The 16278-nt window shown below is 40.5% G+C and overlaps 1 protein-coding gene across 1 annotated transcript in view, besides 4 other annotated features; it reads left to right on the top strand.

The window, feature by feature from the left end:
• Window positions 520-1029: a silencer, noted in NCBI's record as "silent region_2375". NCBI's record gives its function as "represses an Ori minimal core promoter by ATAC-STARR-seq in GM12878 lymphoblastoid cells {active_cell/tissue: GM12878}" and the evidence as "EXISTENCE:reporter gene assay evidence [ECO:0000049][PMID:35858748]".
• IPMK (inositol polyphosphate multikinase) overlaps window positions 810-16278 on the top strand; it is a 76378-nt gene continuing 60909 nt past the window's right edge. Inside the window, exon 1 of the mRNA NM_152230.5 lies at window positions 810-1282. Coding sequence (NP_689416.1) covers window positions 1093-1282 — 190 coding nt within the window. The 5' untranslated portion in view covers window positions 810-1092. The remainder of the gene's footprint in view (window positions 1283-16278) is intronic.
• Window positions 1281-1575: an enhancer, noted in NCBI's record as "tiled region #9892; HepG2 Activating DNase matched - State 1:Tss". NCBI's record gives its function as "activates a minimal TATA promoter and a strong SV40 promoter by Sharpr-MPRA in HepG2 cells {active_cell/tissue: HepG2}" and the evidence as "EXISTENCE:reporter gene assay evidence [ECO:0000049][PMID:27701403]".
• Window positions 1281-1639: a biological region, named in NCBI's record as "Sharpr-MPRA regulatory region 9892".
• Window positions 1530-1639: an enhancer, noted in NCBI's record as "active region_3383". NCBI's record gives its function as "activates an Ori minimal core promoter by ATAC-STARR-seq in GM12878 lymphoblastoid cells {active_cell/tissue: GM12878}" and the evidence as "EXISTENCE:reporter gene assay evidence [ECO:0000049][PMID:35858748]".

The following is a 16278-nucleotide window of genomic DNA, read 5'->3' as shown; positions in this document are numbered from 1 at the left end:
TCGCGTAGCTACCGGTGTCCATCCCTTTCTGCTTTTGATATAATTATCTACTCAGGACCTTGGAACCTGCACTATCTTAAAGGTCGAGTGGGAGAGAAAAAACTTGCTCCTTTCTTTAAAAAACATGTTCACTTAAAAAAATTAGAAGTTTTCTCTGTCTTCTACAGTCTGAAATTCGTGTCGGTTCCAATTTTATTTTATTTTTATGTGTTTTACTTTTTGGTAAGAGCGGTTTAGAGACAGCAATCCGGGGAGGGGGGCTGAGATTAACTCGAAGGGTATTTTGAAGGCGCATCTCTAATAAGCTGCCTGCTTTTACTTCTGTTGTTTTCGTGCGGGGTGGGAGTTGGAGGGAGTTGAGTGCAGTTAGGGGTGGCCTTTAGAGCCACCCTTGGCAATGCTAGTGCCTTCCAATTCTTGCCGGACTGCTCCGCACACTTAGAAGTCCCTGGCTTCTCTGAGCTGACGCGCTGAGAAGCGTGTTGAATGAATGAGGCCACAGCAGCACGCGTGACTTCGAAATGCCCGCGGGGTGGGGGTGAGAAGAAACAGGGGTGCGCTCGCCCTATCCCTGTCGCCGTCGCCAGGTCCTGGCAGCACGGCGCGCCCGCCCCGCTGACTTGGGGGGCCGGAATCCCGTTGGACGGCCTCTGGGCATGCTCAGTAGCGGCGGCAGCGGCGGTGCGGGCGGCGGTGACGCGCGCGCGGCAGCTGAGGGGACTGGAGGACGGCGGGAGGGGGCGGGGGCGCAGGAGGTGGGNCCGCCGTCGCCGTCAGGGCCCCAGGGAGCGCGGGGCGCCGCTGCTGCTGTTCTTCGGCTCGGTTCTGTCTACCGGGCAGCGCCGGGGCCGGCGGCTGCGGCGGCAGAGGAACAGGAGCCGGGAGCCGCGTTCCGCCGAGAGTTGGGCAGAGGAGCGCCCGCGCCCCGGCGGCGTCATGGGCCCCCTCCCCGCGCTTCAGAGGGCACCAGCCGCGGGAACCCCCGGGCCTCCTCGCGCCCGAGCCTGAGCGACCCTCGGGTTCTCCGGCGCCCCCTCCCTCGCCCTATTTTTTTTCCTACTCTCGCTGCCGTTACCGCTTCTGCTCTCCGTTATGGCAACAGAGCCACCATCCCCCCTCCGGGTCGAGGCGCCGGGCCCCCCAGAAATGCGGACCTCACCGGCGATCGAGTCCACCCCTGAGGGCACCCCGCAGCCGGCGGGCGGCAGACTCCGCTTCCTCAACGGCTGCGTGCCCCTCTCGCATCAGGTGGCCGGGCACATGTACGGGAAGGACAAAGTGGGTAAGTGGGGGTGGCATAGGTCTCGCCGCTCCCCTTCCGCCTGTGCGAGCCCCCTGTCAGCGGAGGCAGCCTAGCGCTCTCGGGCCTGCCTGGACGCCCCCCTGGTGTGCACGCCAAATCCCTGGCCTCTTCCGCTGTCCCCCGAAGCCTCGCCACTCGAGCAGAAGGGGCTCGGAAAGTGGGACAATTCCTAGGGTGTGGGTCGTCAGGCTTGCAGCACGGGTGGCAGGGAGAGGCGTGTCTGGTCTCACCCACCCCCCAGGGAGGTTGGGTGTTGATTGGAGACGGCGTTGTTAGTGAAAATAAGGAACTTCATTTTTACTGGACGGGGAAGTAAATTCTCCCTTGAGCACAAGGTCTGTTTATTATAGGCGAGTAGCTATTGCAAAAGAAAAGGAATGAAATGCAGATGATGCTAATCTAGTACTTCTCTGCTGGGTGCAGCTGCATAGCTGGAGGGGAAGAAAAACACTGGGCTTTTTTAGGGGGAGGTGAGAAGGGAAGAAAGCTTGTCCGTGATTTTTCCCTGTCCCTTGAGGAGGTTTTTCTGGTGTCTCCTTGATTTCTCTGGGAGGCGTGGTTCCAGTAGTGCAGAAACTCGGATTCCTGGTGGGAAATTCACACGCATATTGTACCAGAATGATACACAAAATGTTCAGCTATTCTTGTTCATTTTATAAGGCTGTATCATGGCCACTGTAATACATTTTCTGAGTTCACAAGTTTAAAGCCTATCTCAGTTTAGGAACTCTAATTCATCTAGTTTACCCGTAGTGGTTCCCTGGGCCATGATTACTGGGGTAATCTGATGGATGAGTATGTGAGTATTGTGGATCTTTGACCCGGAAGAGCCACTAGAGACAATTTAGTTTATGCCGGTAAAACGATTCGGGTTTAGGTTGCTAATACTGACATTTTTAGACGAGGTGACTAAGGCCAACCCTGGTTAAGAATGACGTGCCTGAAGTCACGTTACAATATGTTAAGAATTGTGAAACCAAGAGTTCTTCCTTTGAGTACTGTATTTTTTCACCATGTATTGTGTTTGCTGAAACAACTCAAGGCTTTTAGAAAATGGATAAGTATTAATTTGAGTATATGCTATTTCTCAAAGCGACATTTTCCACTACTTTTATTTTTACCTACTTTGTTTGTGTGCCTTTCTCCCCACTGAATTGTGAATTCCTAGATGTTAGAGAGAGAATCTGTATTCTCTCATAGCCTTGTGCACGGACTGGGAATCAGTAACACTCAGGAAATATTGAATAGTGAAAATTGACAGTTGTTTTAGTATACCGAGGTAAAGAAACAACGTCCTCAAGTTGCTCAGCATAGACATTTCCTCCTGTGTGCCAGTGTCTTGTAATGAGAATTTGAGAGTACTCATGGGGTTTCTGTTAATAGAGGAATGCCTATTGATTTATATTAATACATTGTGATTTTACTATTCCTAATAATATTCTAGATGCCTGAAAAAGTAAATGTTTCCCTAAAGGTCCCTAGAGATTGACTTATATGCAAAGGAGAATAGATTTTAAAAATCTCAACATAAAAACAATCTAAATAATTGTCACTTAAGAGTGTAACCACTGCTTATTACAGTATGTAATAGTGATCCCATTCAGAGTGATTGCAAATAGTGGCTGAAAAGTTAATTTGTCACCCAAATTGCCTAATTAATGGAAAAGTTTAGATTCTAGAGGTAGTAGTCCTTAATTTTATTATGGCATTCAGTGTAAAATAAACTTTTTTTGCAATTTCATAAGGGTCTTTTGAGTAGGGACAGTGTTTGTGTCACCATAGTAGAATGGCTTAAACATACTGTGCTAGCAACCTAATATTTGTTGAATTTAATTCTCAGATAGTTATACAATCCTGACTGTATTGTTAAGTAAAAGGATACTTGACTGATGATATATTCCCTATTTGTAAAATGGATAAGATGGTCACTAATTCAAAGTTCAACAGTTTTATTATGTTTCTCCACTGTCATAAGTCATGTACAGTTTACATCATTTAGATCATGCTTTGGTCTGTCAATTGAAATAATTCTCAGGATAAGCTTTGTTAAGGACGTTATGTTGGTATTTGTTTTGTTTTTAAATTTGTGTTACTATCAGTAAGTAACCAGAAATGTTCCATTTAGAATTATTTTACCTATTTCCAAAAAGGAGTTGTTGGCTTTGTTAGTTTAAAAATTAAACTCATGGAACTTGATAGAACAAAGGTGCTTGAACAGAAAAATAGATCTTGTTATATATGCTAAGTAACAAGCATATATTAGTAGTTCAGACATCCGTTATATTTTGTGTTCTTCACTGAAACCATATTTCATCAAAATACATTTAAATCTTAGTTCTAAGAATACAAAGTATTTTGTTTTTTAAACTGTAAAAATTGTATAGTACACGGATCTTTTAGGAAAAAAATTCAGTTTAAGTAGTGCCCTTCCCCCTACTCATTCTCCCAGGGGCAATCACTGGTAACTACTTCCTGTCTATCCTTTCAGGCCTTTGTTTCTGGGCACATACATAAACACATTAGCGCGGTTCTGTTTTTTTATACAAATAAATCTATCAGCAACTTTTCTCATTCTGTATTATATCATGTATTATACCTATATTTTTGCACTTACGGTATACTTTATTCTTTCTAAAAATTGTGTTCTACAATGTGGATGTATCACAATTTATTTAACTATTTCTGTAATCATAGATTTTTAGACTTTTCACCATTTGTTTGCTGTGATAAGTAATGTACTTATTAAACATTCTTGTATATAATAGCATACCTTGCACGTTGTGTACCTATCTCTGTAGGAAGTTTTCGCAAAAAAAAGATCAATATAAATTCCCAAAACTCACCAAAGTTAGCATAAAATTCTTTTAATATGTATCATTAAGTTCTTTAAAAAGTCCTTAAAGTTTTAAACAAATGATGGAAATCTGATATTTCTTGATCTGATGTAGGATGTAGAAATGGGGTAGTCTATAGGGAAAACAAGGATTTAAACTGATAATTGTTGTGGGGGAGAAAGACCTACAATTATCTTGGCTTAGTAGTCTCTTTTTATTAGATATCCTCTGAAACTAATTAACCTAAAATAATTTCAAGCCTACAGAAAAGTTGCAAGAACAATAGAAAAGTAACATTTTGCAAAATTTGTTTTATTATCTCTCAATGCAAATAATTTTTCTTAACTATTTGCAAGTAGGTTGCATACATTATGCCACTTTACATGTTAATACTAAAGTGTGTCTTCCTTAAGAACAAGGATATTCTCTTCTGTAGCCACAGCACATTGATCAACTATGGGAAATTTAACAGGGATATAATACTTTAATCTATAGTCCATAGTCTCACTTTGTCAACTGTTCCAATACTGTAATGTCTTTTATCACATTTGTTTTTCTCAGTACAGGATCTGGTCCAGAATCATTTATTGCAATTAGTTGTTATGTCTTTTAGTGTCCTTTCATTTGTAACATATCCTCAGCCTTTCCCTGTCCTTTATGACATTGTCATTTTGAAGAGTACAGGCCAGTTATTTTATGAAATGTTCTTTAATTTGGGTTTCTGATAGTTCCTTACGATGGGATTCAGATGATACTTTTCCAGCTGGAACATTGTGTAAGTGGAGGCCAACAATAGCTGCCCTTTGGTAGTGGATTATTTCTGGTTGTCTGATTCAAGTGTAGTCTGGCTTCTTCAGTATATCGTTTTGTTTGTTTGTTTTTTGAGACAGGCTCTTGCTGTGTCACCTAGGCTGGAGTGCAGTGGCGTGATGTAGTTCACTGCAGCCTCAAACTTCAGGGCTCAAGCAATCCTCCTGCCTCAGCCTCCTGAGTAGCCGGGAGTATAGGTGCACACCACTAGGCCAGGCTAATTTTTTTTTTTTTTAACGGAGTCTTGCTCTGTTGCCCAGGCTGGAGAACAGTGGCGCGGTCTTGACTCACTGCAACCTCCGCCTCCCAGGTTCAAGTGATTCTCGTGCCTCAGCCTCTTAAGTAGCTAGGATTACAGGAGTGCACCACCATGCCTGGCTAATTTTTGTATTTTTAGTAGAGACGGGGTTTTGCCATGTTGGCCAGGCTGGTCTTGAGCTCCTGGCCTCAGGTGATCCACCCACCTCTGCCTGCCAAAGTGCTGGGATTACAGGCATGAACCACTGCTGGGCCAGGCTAATTTTAAAATTTTTTGTAGAGATGGGATCTGGCTTTGTTGCCCAGGCTGGTCTTGAACTACTGGCTTCAAGTGATCCTTCTGCTTCAGCCTCCCAAAGTGCTAGGATTACAGGAATGAGTCACCATGCCTGGCTTCAGTATATAGTTAATGTTTTCTGTTCTACATTTAATAAGCTATATGTGAGGAGACACTTTACAGTCATGCAGCTATCTGGATTCTCATCAACTTCATCCCTAGATTTGGCATCTGTTGATTCTTGCCTGAAGCTGTGTTTATTCTGATAGTTACAAAATTGTGATTTTTTCCCCCCATTCTTTCACTCCCTCTGCTTTAACAGCTAGCATTCCAAGAAATAGCTCTTCCTTTACCCTTAAGTATTTATGTCCTTATTTATAATCAGTTTGCATCATGGATTCCTATTTGATAACATGTATCATTACCCATTATGGAACTTATTTATTGGACTTTAATCACATCTCAATGTTTTTAAAAAAGGAACTTATTTATTTTGTTGCTCAAATGGTCCCAAATTTGACCATTGAGAGCACTTCCTTTCTGTCATAACAGATTTTTTAGAATTATCTCATAACTTTCTTCCCCAGCCCTAGAGTCAACCATTTCTTCAAGGAGCCCTGGTTTCTTTTTAGTGGAAAATGGTATTTAGAAACCAAGATCTGTGTTACTAGGTATTGTCATAACTGTTGGAGTATCATTTCTTCCAGGACTTTTCAATGGACATGATTTTTAAAGTATGTATAAATATTTTAGAAATTATAATTTCATATTTCAAATTTCATTTAAACCCGAGTTCTTCCTTTCCCTTGATTCTAAATTTGTATTTCCCTTCTTCTGTAGTAAGAACCCTGGCTCCCAGTGATATTAATATGTTTATTCTTTTGCTTAATCTTACAATTTTCAGAATTTCTACACCCATACTACTTCAGAAAACAAGCCTAGAATAAAGAATTCAGGATGAGATTTTTTTATTTATTTATTATACTTTAAGTTCTGGGGTACATGTGCACAACGTGCAGGTTTGTTACATATGTATACATGTGCAGTGTTGGTTTGCTGCACTCGTTAACTAGTCATTTACATTAGGTATTTCTCCTAATGCTATCCCTCCCCCATCCCCCCAACCCCACGACAGGCCCCGGTGTGTGATGTTCCCTGCCCTGTGTCCAAGTGTTCTCGTTGTTCAGTTCCCACCTATGAGTGAGAACATGCGGTGTTTGGTTTTCTGTCCTTGCGATAGTTTGTTCAGAATGATGGTTTCCAGTTTCATCCATGTCGCTACAAAGGACATCAACTCATGAATTCAGGATGAGATTTTCTTATACTGAGGGTATAAACTGTGTTCAAAAATTACTTGGGGCTGGGCACGGTGGCTCATGCCTGTAATCCCAGCACTTTGGGAGGCCAAGGCCAGGAGGTTGAGACCAGCCTGGCCAACATGGCAAAACCCTGTCTCTACAAAAAATGCAAAAATTAGCCGGATGTGTTGGTGGCGCCTATAGTCCCAGCTACTCAGGAGGCTGAGGCAGGAGAATCACATGAACCTGGGAGCGGAGGTTGCAGTGAGCCGAGACTGTGCCACTGCACTCCAGCCTGGGTGACAGAGCAAGACTGTCTAAAAAAAAAAAAACAAACAAAAGTTAGTTGGATTAGGTTTTTTGTTTTTGGTTGTTATTTCTTTTTCTCCCTTTTCGCAGTAGTAGTATTCATTTGAAATACAGTTGGGTTCATTTGTTTCTGTTTAAATTCATCCCTGCTTCCTCAAATTTTGTTTGTTTGATTATATATTTGAAAGCTTATAACATTAACATGCTTCCAAAAAACAAAACTTTACAGAAAAGTATAATAAAAAATTTCACTCCCTTATCACTCCACCCCATCCACTCCTCAGCATCTCTTGTAGGTAATCAATTTCATTGTTTTCTGATTTACCCTTTTTGAGTTTCTTTTTACAGAATTAAATAGATCTATGGAAGTTTTATTTCCCTTTCTTTCTGATACAAAATCTAGTATGCTGTATATACTGTTTTTCACATGGTTTTTAAGAGTTAAGACTATATCCTAGAAATTCGTATGTATCAGTTCATAGAGTTCCTCCTCATTTTTTTTTTTTTATAGCTCAGCCGTGCATATTCAATCAATTTCCTGGATTTGCTTTTGGCCTTTTATTTTCATTGGCTTGTTTATCCTACTTCACGATCTTGATTCAAGTTATTTTATAATAAGTCTTCATGCATCCCACTTACTATTTCAAGATTGTCTTGGCTTTTTCTGGTCCTTTGCATTTACATACAGATTTTAAATCAACTCATTACTTTTCCCCAGAAACAGGATGAGATTTTATTTGGCATTGCCTTGAATCTGTAGATAGCTTTGGTGAGAATCGATTTATTTGCAATATTGAGTCTTCCAATACTTGAACATGGTATATCTCTCTATTTAGTCCTTTAATTTCTCTCAGTGAGTCATAGTTTTCAGTGTACAGGTCTTACACATTGTTTACTAGGCTTTTCCCTTAAGTATTTGATTTTACTGTAAATTGTACTGCCTTAAGTTTTTTTTTGAAAAAAATTTAAATTTATTAAAAATATGCCAGAATAGTACAGTGAACTAATGTATGCCATTCATCTGGATTTATCAATTGTTAATATTAATTTTGCCACATATGCTTTATTACTCTCTGTATATGATGATTGTGCATAAACATTTAAGAATAAATTTTAGACATCATGACCCCTTTTCTCTAAATAATTGTGTATATTGCCTAAAAATAAGACAATTTTCTCACCTAACCATAGTAAAATTACAAAATTCAGAGTATTTAGCATTTGGCTTTTGCCATTATTCCAATAATATCATTTACAGCACTTTCCTTCATCCAGGATCACACATTGCATTTCGTTGTTACGATTCTTTAGTTTCCTGTTATCGGGAGCACTTCTTTCTTCTTTCTGTATCTTTCATAACCATGGAATTTTTGAAGAGTATAGGTGTATGACATTTTAGAATGTCCTTTAAGTTCAGTTTGTCTGATTGTTTTGTCATGATTATATTCAGATTATGCATTTTTGGTAAGAATATTATATGACTATGTCATGTCTTCAAAGCATATCATAAGACATAGGATGTCAGTTGCATTATTGGTGATGTAACTTTGATCACCTGGTTAAGTGATTTCTGCCAGGTTTTTCCACAGGAAAGTTATCGTTTTTGCTGTTAAGTAATTTGAGAGGAATATTTTGAGACTGTTAGATATTCTGTTCCTCATGAAACTTTACCTTGATTGATAATATTTGACAGACTCATATAGTACTATGATAATTGCAAAATAGTAATATTCTAACTATCATTCGTGTTACATTTGTTTTTCTTTTTGTTTTTTGAGACAGGTTCTTGCTCTGTTACCCAGGCTCGAGTGCAGTGGTACAGTCATGGCTCACTGCAACCTCCGCCTCCCAGGCTCAAGTGATCCTCCCACCGAAGCCTCCTGAGTAGCCGGGACTATAGGCATGCACCACCATGCCTGGCTAATTGTTTTTTTTTTTTTTTTATGTAGAGATGGGATTTTACCATGCTGGCCAGGCTGGTCTTGAACTCCTGAGCTCATGCGATCCACCCACCTCAGACTCTCAAAGTGCTGGCATTATAGGCGTGAGCCATTCTGCCCAGCCCTCATTCCTATTACATTTGTTAGTTGGCATTCTATGTTAAGGAATAGATTTCCCTCCTCATTCATTCATTCATTCATTCATTCATTCATTATTAAGGTGGATTTTTTTCAAATTTCAGTGGATAGATATCCATTATTGTTGCTGCTTGATGTTATGGTTGTCTCAGATTTGAGCAGTGGGAACTTCAAGCTGGCTCCTGTGTCTTTTTGATATTTCCTGTTTTTTCTTTCAAAGCATTTTTTAACTTTCTGGCATAAAAAGATATTCCACATTCCTTTTGTGTTTTCCCTGTCTCGGCCCTGAAATGAGCCGTTTTTCTTCAAGAAACCCTTGTTCCTTTAGGGGTAAATGGTATTTAGAAACTATGGTCTGGCCACTAGGTGTGCTCATGGTTCCTTGGGTGTGATTGCTGTTTGTCCATTCACAGACTGGACTAAGAAATGTATTTCATATTATTAAACATTTGAGTTAATCCCCATACCTATAATTTAAATTCAGCACCACAAAGTTCTTTTTTGCCTCCCTCCATTCTGTATTTACATCTCCCTTCTTCCTCAGTGAGAACTCTGTCTCCTCAAAACATCAGTATATTTATTCATTTTGAAATATTTAAACCAACTTATTTTCCCAGAACCATCTAAAAGAACCACTTTTTAAAATTGCATTGATTTTTCTTCGTTGTCCATTTCTTATTTCTTTGATTTTTCATTCCTATCTTTCTATTTATTTGGAATTAATATGTTCTTTTTTCTGACATCTTAAATTGGAGACTTCCTTTTTCTTCTCATACAAGCATTTAAAACTGCCCATTTCCCTTTAAGTACTAAACAATATATTAGCTGCGTTTCACAAATTTTGATATAGATTGAGTTTTTATTATAATTTATATTAAAAATACTTTCTAATTTCCATTGTGAATTTTGATCCATTAATAATTAGGAGGGTGTTGTTTACTTTCCGACTATTTGGTATTTTCCTAAATATCTTACTGTTACTTCCATTGTGGTCAGAGAATATTCCCTATGTGAATATTCTGTGTGATTCCAATCTTGTTAGATTTTAGACTTGTTTTATGGTCCAGCACATACTCAATCTTGGTAAATGCTCCATTTATATACTAAAAGAATGTATATTCTGTTGGATATAGCATTCATTCTGCAGGTGTCAATTTGGTCAACTTGTTTGTTGCTGTTCAAGTTTTATATATCATTACTAATATTCTATTTTTTGTTTGTTTGTTTTGAGATGGAATCTCGCTCCGTCGCCAGGCTGGAGTGCAGTGGCATAGTCTTGGCTCACTGCAACCTCCACCTCCTGGGTTCAAGCAATTCTCCTGCCTCAGCCTCCCAAGTAGCTGGGATTACAGGCACGCACCACCATGCCCGGCTAGTTTTTGTATTTTTAGTAGAGATGGGGGTTTCACCATGTTGGCCAGGCTGGTCTTGAACTCCTGACCTCATGATCTGCACGCCTTGGCCTCCCAAAGTCCTGGGATTACAGGTGTGAGCCACCACGCCTGGCCTATTCTATTTGTTTTATCAATTATTGAGAAAGTAATTGTGGATTTGTCCTTTATGGATTTGTCTGTCCTTTCAGTTCTGTCAGTTTTTGCTTCATGTATTTTGAACCACCAAATAATTTAGTACACACTTATTTAGGATTTTTATATCATCTTAATGAACTGACCTTTTTATTGTTATGATATGTCTCTCTTTGTGTTTAATGTTCTGTTTCTTGTAGTCTGCTGTCTCTAATACTATGTAGTCTGATATATAATATTACTATATCAAACGTTCTTATGAGCAATAATTGCATGATGCATCTTTTCCATTCTTTCACTTTTAACTCATCTGTGTCTTCAAAAAGTGTCTAGGGGTTTGATATTTTTCAGTCTGTTTCGGATTCTCTGAGCATCTTGGCTGTACGTTTTTATGTTTCTTAATACTTTTAGAACATTTCAGCCATTGCCTTGTCAAATATTTTCTCAGTACCTTTCTCACATTTTAAAAATGTTCTTTATCTTATTATTTTATTTTATTTATTTATTTTTGTTTTTGAGACAGAGTCTTGCTCCGTTGCCCAGGCTGGAGTGCAGTGGCATAATCTCAGCTCACTGCAACCTCTGCCCCCCAAGTTCAAGAGATTCTCATACCTCAGCCTCCCGAGTGGCTGGGACTACAGGCACATGCCACCATGCCCAGCTAATCTTTGTGTTTTTAGTAGAGACAGGGTTTCACCATGTTGGCCAGGCTTGTCTCGAACTCCTGACCTCAGGCGATCAACCCGCCTTGGAGTCCCAAAGTGCTGGGATTACAGGTGTGAGCCACCGGGCCTGGCTGTTGAAATACCCTGTGTTTAATTGAAATTAAACAGAATCTATAATTCTCTTAGTATGTATATAATGTATATACTTTCCTATATCACAGGTTTTCTTTTCTAATAATAAAAGCAAAATGTTGTTTTCGTTTGTTTTATTCTGTTTGTTTTTAGAAGCAGGGTCTTTTACACTCAGACCAGAGCGTGGTGGTGTGATCACGGCTTACCAGCAGCCTCAACCTCCTGGGCTCAAGTGATCCTCCCATCTCAGCCCCTTAAGTAGCTGAGACCATAGGCATGTGCCAACATGCGTGGCTAATTTTCATTTATTTTTTGTAGAGATGGGATCTCACTATGTTGCCGAGGCTGGTCTTGAACTCCTTGGCTCAAGTTTTCCTCTTGTCTTTCGGGGGAACCAGCCCCCAATATTTCAACATAGGTTCTTATCTATTTTCCCTAAGTGTCGGCTGGTCTGACAAATAAAGAGAAAGAGTACAAAGAGAGAAATTTTACAGCTGGGCCTCTGGGGGTGACATCACATGTCGGCAGGTTCTGTGATGCCCCCTGAACTGCAAAACCAGCAAGTTTTTATTAGGGATTTCAAAAGGGGAGGGGGGTACGAACAGGGAGTAAATCACAAAGATCACATGCTTCAAGGGGCAATAAAAGATTACAAGGGCAGAAGGGCAGAGCAAGATCACAAGGCCAGGGCGAAATTAGAATTACTGATGAGGTTCCATGTCCCACTGGGCATGCATTGTCTTGATAAACATCTTAACAGGAAACAGGGTTCAAGAGCAGACAACTGGTCTGACTAGAATTTGCTGGGCTGGAGTTTCCTAATCCTAGCAAGCCTGAGGGCACTGCAGGAGACCAGAGTGTGTTTCATCCCTTATCTTCAACCGCATAAGGCAGACACTTCCAGAGGGCCATTTTAGAGACCTCTCCCTGGGAATGCATTCCTTTCCCAGGGGTATTCCTTGCTGAGAAAAGAATTCAGTGCTATTTCTCCTATTTGCTTTCTGTAAGAAGAGAAATATGACTCTGTTCTGCCTGGCCCCGCAGGCAGTCACACCTTATTGTTATCTCCCTTGTTCCCTGAAAATTGCTGTTACCCTGTTCTTTTCAAGGTGGCCAGATTTCATAATGTTTAAACACACATGCTTTACAAACAATTTGTGCAGATAACGCAATCCAGGGTCCTGAGGTGACATAAATCCTCAGGTTATGAAGATGATGGGATTAAGAAATTAAAGACAGGCATAGGAAATTATAAGAATATTGATTGGGGAAGTGATAAATGTGCATGAAATCTTAACAATTTCTGTTCAGAGATTGCAGTAAAGACAGGCATAAGAAATTATAAAAGTATTAATTTGGGGAACTAATAAATGTCCATGAAATCTTCACAATTTATGTTCTTCTGTTGTGGCTTCAGCCGGTCCCTCCGTTCGGGGTCTCTGACTTCCCGGAACACTGTCTCAGCTTTCCAAAGTGTTGGGATTATAGGTGTGAGCCACCACACCTGGCCAATATATGTTTATCATAGAAAATTCCAGGAGAAATTTACAAAAAAGAAAAAAAAAAGAAATATAAATTACCTAGATGGTGATATCATCAAGATGGCAGAATAGAAGATCCCCTACCTCACTGCTTTCATAAAAATACAATTAGAAACCATTCAAAGACAAGAGCACCAGCCTGAATACACCAGAGCCCAGGGGAGAATCAGAGAAATCCCCTGTATCCACAGACCTGAGAGAAACCTTGACTGATAAGAGAAATCATTTCAGACTGTGTCACCCCCTCCCCCAAACTGGCATGACACCACTCACAGAAAATTTCCCTAGACCCGTGGTTTCTGAGGTGAGAGGAGAGAATTGGAGGTGGATGTTTGATCTTTTCACTGGTCTGGGAATCTTCATGGAAAGCCCACTCCAGCTCCATGTCACAGGAACCATTGGAAATGCCAGAAGGGCTGAACCAACTGGAGTGTATTGGGAACAAAAGTGGGTCAGTGATTGCAGTGACAGGTGTGTGGATCTTTGTGGCTACTCAGTACTCCAATCACCTGGGAAACCACGTTGAAGAGACTGGCTGATGCCATAGAGCTGTAGGGGGACAGTCTGTGGGATAGCCTGAGTCCCAGGCTTTCCACAAAGCCCAGGTGCTTGCATGGAACCTTCCCTGGATAGAAACAACTAACAGCCATGATTAAGTTCCAGTGCCCACTAAAGTTTTCCCCAGTTTGGGAAACAGTGGTAGAGCAGCAATGTAGTTCTGTGGCAGTGTTTAAGCTTTGGTGCTCACTGTAAGTCTTCCCTGGATTGGGAAACAATGGCAGGGCAGCGATTTCATCCTGCAACAGCATTTATGCTTCAATGTTCACTATAAGTCTTCTCCCAGAACAGGAAACAATGACAGGGCAATGAATTAGTTCTAGTGCAGGGTTTTAGTTCCAGTACTTACTATAAGTCATCCACTGAACAGGAAGAAACAACAGGCCATGTTTAAGTTCTGATACTAAAAAGTAAAGGTCTGACACCAATAAGGAACACCTGCAAAAACTAGAAGAGGTAACTGTCTCTTCAAATGTGCAGGCATCAACATAAAGATGCAAGGATTGTGAAAATCCAACGAAGTATGGTACTACTAAAAGAAACCAGTTCAACTCCAATAATGAACTAGAAGAATTGAAGATCTACAAGATTTTTGAAAGATAATTTAGAATTTTTTTTTGAAGAAGTTCAGGGAATCACAAGAAAATATGGATAGAAATCTAAATGAAATTTGGAAAACACTCCAGAAACGAAATAAGAAGTTTGACAAAAAATAGAAGTGATTTTTTAAAAAAGAGAGAGATCCTATAAATGAAGAGTACCATAACTGAATGCAAAAACTCATTAAAAGGTTTTGACAGCAAACTTGATGAAACAGAGGAAAGAATTATTGAGCTTGAGGGTAGAAGCTATGAAGTTATCTAAACAGAGGAGCAAAAAGAAAAGAATAAAGAATGAAGAGGGCCTACAAGAATTACGAAACATCAATAAGGGAAGCAACCTCTGATAATTGGAATTTTTAAAGGAGATGAGAGTGAAAAAGGCCTAGAAGGTATATTTGAGGAAATAATGGCTGAAAATTTCCAAAATCTGAGGGAAGATGACAACATCTAGGTAAAGGAAGCTCAAAGATTACCATTCAAATTCAACCTAGAGAGGGAATTCCCCAAGGCACATTATAATCAAATAAGCAAAAATCAAAGACAGAGAAAAAATACTCAAAACATCAAGAGAAAGGAAACATATCTCAGTCAATGGAGCCCCAATATGGCTTTCTGTGGATTCCTCAGCAGAAACCCTGAAGGCCAGGAGAGACTGGAGTGCTATATTCGAAGGAAGGGAGGGAGGGAGAGAGGAAGGAAAATTGTCCTCCAAGACTATTGTACCCAGTAAAGCTATTTTTCTTTTTCTTTTCTTTTTTTTTCTTTTTTTTTTTTTTTTGGAGATGGAGTCTTACTCTGTCGCTCAGGCTGGATTGCAGTGGTGTGATGGCTCACTGCAGCCTCCACATCCTGGGTTCAAGCATTCTCCCGCCTCAGCCTCCCGAGTAGCTGGGACTACAAGTGCATGCCACCATGCCCAGCTAATTTTTTGTATTTTAGTAGAGACAGGGTTTCACTGTGTTGCCCAGGCTGGTCTCGAACTCCTGAAACTCCTGAGCTCAGGCAGTCTGCCTGCTTCGTCCTCCCAAAGTGCTAGGATTACAGGCTTGAGCTACTGTGCCTGGCCCAGTAAAGCTATTTTTCAAACACAAAGGAAGGATAAAGACATTTCCAGACAAACAAAAGTTGAGGGAATACATCAATGCCAGACCTGTTTTACAAGAACTGTGTATTAGTCTGTTCTCATGCTGCTAATAAAGACATACCCGACACTGGATAATTTATAAAGGAAGGAGATTTAATTGACTCACAGTTCCACATGGCTCAGGAGGCCTTACAATCATGGCAGAAGGTGAATGAGGAGCAAAGTCATATTTTACATAGCGGCAGGCAAGACAGCTTGTGCAGTGGAACTTCCATTTATAAAACTATCAGAGACTTATTCACTACCAAAAGAACAGTATGGGGAAACCACCCCCATGATTTAATTATCTCCACCTGGCTTTGCCCTTGACATGTGAGGATTACTACAATTCAAGGTAAGATTTGGGTGGGGACACAGCCAAACCATGTCAGACTGCTAGAGAGAGTTCTTCAGTCTGAAGGAAATGGATGCTAAGATGTAACAAGAAAACATCTGAAGTTAAAAACCTCATGGATGTGGCCGGGCACAGTGGCTCATGCCTGTAATCCTAGCACTATGGGAGGTCGAGGTGGGTGGATCACCTGAAGTCAGGAGTTTGCGACCAGCCTGGCCAACATGGTGAAACCCCATCTCTACTAAAAATACAAAAATTACCCAGGCGGGTGGTGGGTGCCTGTAATCCCACCTATTCAGGCAGTCGAGGCAGGAGAATCACTTGAACCCGGAAGGTGGAGGTTGCAGTGAGTAGAGATTGCACCATTACAGTGCAGCCTGGGTGACAGAAGGTGACTCCATCTCAAAAAAAAAAAAAAAAAAAGAAAAGAAAACTCTTGGATAAAAGTAGAACAACTTAACTATTTGGTATTATGTTTATTATCTGTGTGATGAAATAATCTGTACACCAGACTTCCATGACATATAATTTACCTACAGAACAAACATGCACATGGACCGCTGAACCTAAAAGTAAACCTTAAAAAAAAAAAAAAAAACAGTCAAATTC

This window comes from Homo sapiens, chromosome 10 (assembly GCF_000001405.40).
Source record: "Homo sapiens chromosome 10, GRCh38.p14 Primary Assembly".
Lineage (NCBI taxonomy): Eukaryota > Metazoa > Chordata > Mammalia > Primates > Hominidae > Homo > Homo sapiens.
This window is presented reverse-complemented; position numbering and strand designations above follow the sequence as displayed.